General features: G+C 35.5%; 1 annotated feature.

Moving 5' to 3' along the window:
* Positions 223–282: a silencer, noted in NCBI's record as "silent region_18583". NCBI's record gives its function as "represses an Ori minimal core promoter by ATAC-STARR-seq in GM12878 lymphoblastoid cells {active_cell/tissue: GM12878}" and the evidence as "EXISTENCE:reporter gene assay evidence [ECO:0000049][PMID:35858748]".

Here is a 6,594-nt window from a genome sequence, read left to right on the forward strand (position 1 = left end):
TGAAATAATTACATAATTCATCATAATGTAGTATCAATAGAAGCCCTGAGCTTGTTTTCCTGCAACTAGATGGTCTCATCTGGCGGTGATGGGAAATGGTGACAGGTAATCAGGCATTAGATTCTCATAAGGAGCTCGTAACCTACATGTCTCACATGTGCAGTTCACGATAGGGTTCATGCTCCTGTGAGAATCTAATGCTGCTGCTGATCTGACAGGAGGCGGAGCTCAGGAGGTAATGTGAGCAATGGGGAGTGGCTGTAAGTACAGAGGAAGCTTTGCTCACTTGCCAACCGGCTCACCTCATGCTGTGTGGCCCAGTTCCTAACAGGCCATGGGCCAACCAATCTGTGCCCCAGGGTTTGGGGACCCCTGGTTTAGCATACGCCACAGAGTTAAGCAGCAAGTTCTTTCTTGAAGGGGGATCTGTATGCTGCCTCTCCATGTCTACCACATAGACTCAGGCTGATGGTGCTCTCTGGGGGCTCACAATAGAAAATATTTTCTGGAGAGAAATATTTCTTTAATTTTTCCTTTTCAATTAAGTTCAGCAAGGTATGAGTTCAAAATAATAAATTATCAAATGTAAGCAAATAAGCTAGCAAAAGAATCAGAAGAAAAGATAAAACATTTAGGCACCACATAAGGCATCATACTGAATACAAAATGTTAGTTTAGATGAATTTTAAAAGTAAAGCTATATTGAAAATATGATCAAGAAACAAAAAGCTAACAAATGGACTAGGTAACTTTCCACAATTCTATGCAACTAAAATTGAAATTCTAGTAGAAACTGGTAATTTTCTAGGGAAAAGAGAGTTAGCAAAATTCCCAAACAAGATAAAAAACTCCAAGTAAATAATTTTCCATAAAAGAATTAGAAACATTACAAAATAACTCTCAGGTTAAAAAGTACCAGGCCCATATAGCTTCATGAGGGAATTTTATGATATTTTTAAGATCAAATAATGCTAAAGCTGTTTAAATTATTTTAAGTCCAAGAAGAAGGAATTATGGATACTTCCTTTAAAGATACACAGACATACACACACACACACAGACACACACACTCACACCACATGCAAATGTGCAGTTACCTCAGCCCTAAAGCCAGAATCTTTATATAATGGAAAATCACTAGAGGTTTTCCTAGTAAAATTTGAAATAAGACCAGGATCTATTATTTTCAACACAATTTAACTTTGGATTGGAAACACTAATTCACGTAATCAAATTAGAGATAATGAAAACATGAACTTAGGAGGAAGAAAAAACATCTCTATTTGCAGATTATATAGTTAAATATCTGGAAAATCCAAAAGAATCCATTGGAAAAACTACTAAAAACTATAAAAGAATTTAATAAAGTAGCAGAATATAAACATAAAAATCCATAGCCTCTACAAACAAAATTTAGTTAGAAGAAATGATAGAAAAACAGGACACATTCACAACTTTGCAAAAAATAAAATACCTAAACATCACCTTAAAGTCAGAAGTGCAAAATTTGCATGAGTAAAACTATAAAGCATTCCTGGAAAAAAACACAAAAGTAGATCTCGGTGAACAGAAATACACATCAGGTTCTTACCTTAGAATATTCAACATCATAAAGATGTTAATTCTCACTGGGGCAATTTATAAACCTAAAATAATCCTAATAAAACACCATATTTGTCTTAAGCTACAAGCTGATTAGTTAGCTTATTCATAAAAATAGATAAAAAGTAAAACTTTATGAAAGAAAATCAGTGAGAGGAAGGATGACAAGATGAAATTTTAAAATATGCTATAAAGTCTCTATAAATAAAATAGTGTGGGATTAGTGCATAAACAGACCAATGACCCAATATAGTATATCTGATTATAGACCAAAATATATATGAAATCTCAGTATATGATAAAGGCATCATCTGAAATGGGTGGGGAAGGGACTTTAATAAAGTGTGAGACAATAACTAAATGTAAAAGATAAAATTGAATCCATTCTTCACACTACACACAAGGATAAATTGCAAAAGGATCAGATATCTAAATTTGAATAACAGTTCTAATGCATGTGTATAAAATATATGTATATATCTTGGAGGCTTTGTTTCTTTTTACTCTTTTTTCTCTAAACTTCTTGCTTCATTTCATTCATTTGATCTTCAATCACTGATACCCTTTCTTCCATTTGATCAAATCAGCTACTGAAGCTTGTACATGCATCACGTAGTTCTCAGCTCCATCAGGTCATTTAAGGACTTCTCTGCACTGTTTATTCTAGTTAGCCATTCGTCTACTCTTTTTTCAAGGATTTTAGCTTCTTTGCGATGGGTTCGAACATCCTCCTTTAGCTCGAAGAAGTTTGTTATTACCGATCATCTGAAGCCTTCTTCTCTCGACTTGTCAAAGTCATTCTCTGTCCAGCTTTGTTCCGTTGCTGGCGAGGAGCTCTGTTCCTTTGGAGGAGAAGAGGCACTCTGATTTTTAGAACTTCCAGCTTTTCTGCTCTGGTTTCTCCCCATCTTTGTGGTTTTATCTACCTTTGGTCTTTGATGATGGTGACGTCAGATGGGGTTTTGGTGTGGATGTCCTTTCTGTTTGTTAGTTTTCCTTCTAACAGTCAGGACCTTCAGCTGCAGGTCTGTTGGAGTTTGCTGGAAGTCCACTCCAGACCCTGTTTGCCTGGGTGTCACCAGCGGAGGCTGCAGAACAGCAAATGTTGCTGCCTAATCCTTCCTCTGGAAGCTTCGTCTCAGAGAGGCACCTAGCCTTATGAGGTGTCAGTCGCCTCCCTACTGGGAGGTGCCTCCTTGTTATGCTACTCGGAGGTCAGGGACCCACTTGAGGAGGCAGTCTGTCCGTTCTCAGGTCCCAAACTCAGTGCTGATGAACATGTATGTTTACTGTGGCACTATTCACAATAGCAAAGACTTGGAACCAACTCAAATGTCCACCAATGATAGACTGGATTAAGAAAATGTGGCACATATAAACCATGGAATACTATGCAGCCATTAAAAAGGATGAGTTCATGTCCTTTGTAGGGACATGGATGAAGCTGGAAACCATCATTCTGAGCAAACTATTGCAAGGACAGAAAACCAAACACTGCATGTTCTCACTCATAGGTGGGAATTGAACAGTGAGAACACATGGACACCGGGTGGGGAACATCACACACCGGGGCCTGCCAGGGGGTGTGGGGAGTTGGGAGGGATAGCATTAGGAGATATACCTAATGTAAATGAAATGACGAGTTAATAGGTGCAGCACACCAACATGGCACATGTATACATATGTAACAAATCTGCACGTTGTGCACATGTACCCTAGGACTTAAAGTAAAATAAATACATGTATATATATATATGTGTGTGTGTGTGTGTGTATATGTATATATGTATATAAACATATATAAAATAAATATATGTATGTATGTGTGTATATATATATATGTATATATTTCCAGATTCCACTGACAACTGCTTTGGTAAGTGAATTGGTCAGGCAAATGAACCACTAGAGCAATGAAATTCACTACCTTTTTGTGATGTTTGATTATGTGATAGAGTACATAAAGGGTTACTAATTAACAGTTTTAAAAAATGAACACTCAAAAAATGAATGGTGAGGTGAGAAGAAGGATGAAATCTTGTCATTGTGCTTACTTGACAGACTAGATACGTGGGATGCTTTCCAAAAGCTGGTCATAGGACACTGGAAATCAATATTTTAATAACGTAATAAATTAGCATTTTACCTAAGAGAACACTTTCAACCATATTAGATACTATTACTTACATACAAACATAGTTCTGGTACTCTGTACAAATGACAGTCTACACAAATAACTGCAATAAATTGAAGTTGCAAATAATTGCCAACTATTAATTAGTGAAAATATGAAAGGAGCTCTCTTTTAAATATTTAGAGGCAAATATCATTACATATTGAAAACATATTCTACAATTAAGATTCTATTGTTTCAGAATGAACTTCTCCTTTTCTTTTGCTTTTTCATCTCAGAAAGTCAATTCCTGTAACTGGTATTTTATAAATTCTACTACTGCTGAAAACAAATCACGGGTTTTAATAATCACTTTCCTATAACTTAAACCCTCAAATTAATCCAAAAGTTAGAAGCAGTGATTGGCCACAGTGCTCCAAAGGAGATTTTAGGAGCTTAAAAAAATACAAATAGAATCCTGCTATGATCTCAACCAAATAAGACCCATTGAAGCCACTGCACGCAAAGAGGTGAAAAAGGATAAGGCCACTTTTTCCCACAGGTTGTCCAGTAATTCGAACTAGATAAAATGCAGAATGCACTCTTCTGTGTCAACAGAAATACATAGCAAGCAACCATTAGTTTGTTTATTGAGTTTTTTAAATGCACATCACATAGTTTTATTTTTTTTTAATTTTTTTATTTCCATAGGTTATTGGGGAACAGATGGTGTTTGGTTACATGAGTAAGTTCTTCAGTGGTAATTTGTGAAATTTTGGTGCACCTATCACCCAAGCAGTATACATTGCACTCAATTTGTAGTCTTTTATTTCTCACCCACTTTCTATCCTTTCCCCGAGTCCTCAAAGTCCATTGTGTTATTCTTAGGCCTTTGCATCCTCATAGCTTAGCTCCCACTTATGAATGATAACATACAATGTTTGGTTTTCCACTCCTGAGTTACTTTACTTAGAATAACAGTCTCCAATCTCATCCAGGTTGCTGCAAATGCCATTAATTCATTCCTCTTTATGACTGAGTAGACTTCCATTGTATATATATATGTCACAGTTTCTTTATCCACTTGTCGATTGATGGGCATTTGGGTTGGTTCCACATTTTTGCAATTGTGAATTGTGGTGCTATAAACATGTGTGTGCAAGTATCTTTTTTGCATAATGGCTTCTTTTCCTCTGGGTAGATACCCAGTAGTGGGACTGCTGGAGCAAATGGGAGTTCTACTTTTAGCTCTTTAAGGAATCTCCACACTATTTTCCACAGTGGTTGTACTAATTTACATTTCCACCAGCAGTATAGAAGTGTTCCTTGTTCACCACATCCATGCCAACATCTATTATTTTTTTATTTTTTGATTATGGCCACTCTTGTAGGAATAAGATGGTATCACATTGTGGTTTTGAATTTGCATTTCCCTAATCCTTAGCGATGCTGAGCATTTTTTCATATGTTTGTTGGCCATTTGTATATCTTCTTTTGAGAATTGTCTATTCACATCCTTAGCCCACTTTTTGATGCGACTGTTTGTTTGTTTGTTTTCTTGGTAATTTGTTTGAGTTTGTTGTAGATTCTGGATACTAGTCCTTTATCAGATGTATATATTGTGAAGATTTTCTCCCACTCTGTGGGTTGTCTGTTTACTCTACTGGCTCTTCCTTTTGCTGTGCAAAAGCTCTTTAGTTTAAGTCCCAGCTCTTTCCACACTCACATCAAAAGATTCATGTTTAAATGTTTCAGTGCTCATCTTGTCATTACTAGTCATGCCTTCATGTTAAAATCAAATTTTTTACTCTCATATAAGCCTGCTGTTGTCTCCCTACTTGTAACTATAATTAACATTAGAATTGCTGGGTATTAGAGATTATAGATGATTCACACACTAGAGGAAAATTCTTCGGCATTTCTACTTTTTTAAAATAAATACTCCTTGTTATATCTTTCTGAATTTTATAAAATCTATTGTCCTTGCTTTGAGTTTTCTTTTTACAGGTGGAAAACCTCTTTAAAACTGTGTGCAGTAAACTCTTAAGAGTAGATGAAGAAGGGTGAGCTTGAATAAAGCATAGAAAATCATGACTAACCAATCCAATAGCAGATGTTTCTATTATTAAATAGAGATATTTAAAAATGTATTAGAAACTTGTGAAATAGAAGGACATTTAAGGCACTTAGTCTCAATCTTCCTTCTACATCCTTACACCTCTATAAATTCCACCTTCTTTAACAAACCCAGGCTTTTAGGTTTGAAGCACACTAAGCAATCACTCACCTACTGAAGTTGAACATTTATATAAATAAAACGGAAAATCTGCAAATCATTTTGCTTATTTCCATAGACAACAGATAAGGCTAAAGTAAGGATAGTCAAAGTTACCTCCATTCTTTCTTACACGCTCAACTTTCTGTATTGATCAGGAGGACACATTTCAGATTATTCTTATTAGCTTTGTGACTTATAGTTTCATTTGTATTTTAATCAACTTTCAATTCAACAAGTATATTTTTGGATATGTAATTCTAACTCAGCACCATGCTAGGCTCTGTGGGGTAACAGAAGTAAAGATAAGATTTTATATTCTTATAAGTAAAAAAAAAAAATCTGGAAATAGGAGGAATGTTGCTCAGTTTAAAAATGCATCATTTTGAATGACATAGGACAGAAGTATTACACTTAGAAACAAAAGGTAGGCAAAGAACATGACTGCAAGGCTAGGTTTTGGTGAATACTTCTGAATGCAGAAATACAGCCTACTGCTTTTCTTATCAGTCAGTATCCAATGAGGAAAACATAAATCATTCTAGGTATTTCTAACAATGGGATTTAACATAGGGAATTGGTAACAAATGTGTTACAAAGGTTG

This window comes from Homo sapiens, chromosome 7, assembly GCF_000001405.40.
Source record: "Homo sapiens chromosome 7, GRCh38.p14 Primary Assembly".
NCBI classification, from domain to species: domain Eukaryota; kingdom Metazoa; phylum Chordata; class Mammalia; order Primates; family Hominidae; genus Homo; species Homo sapiens.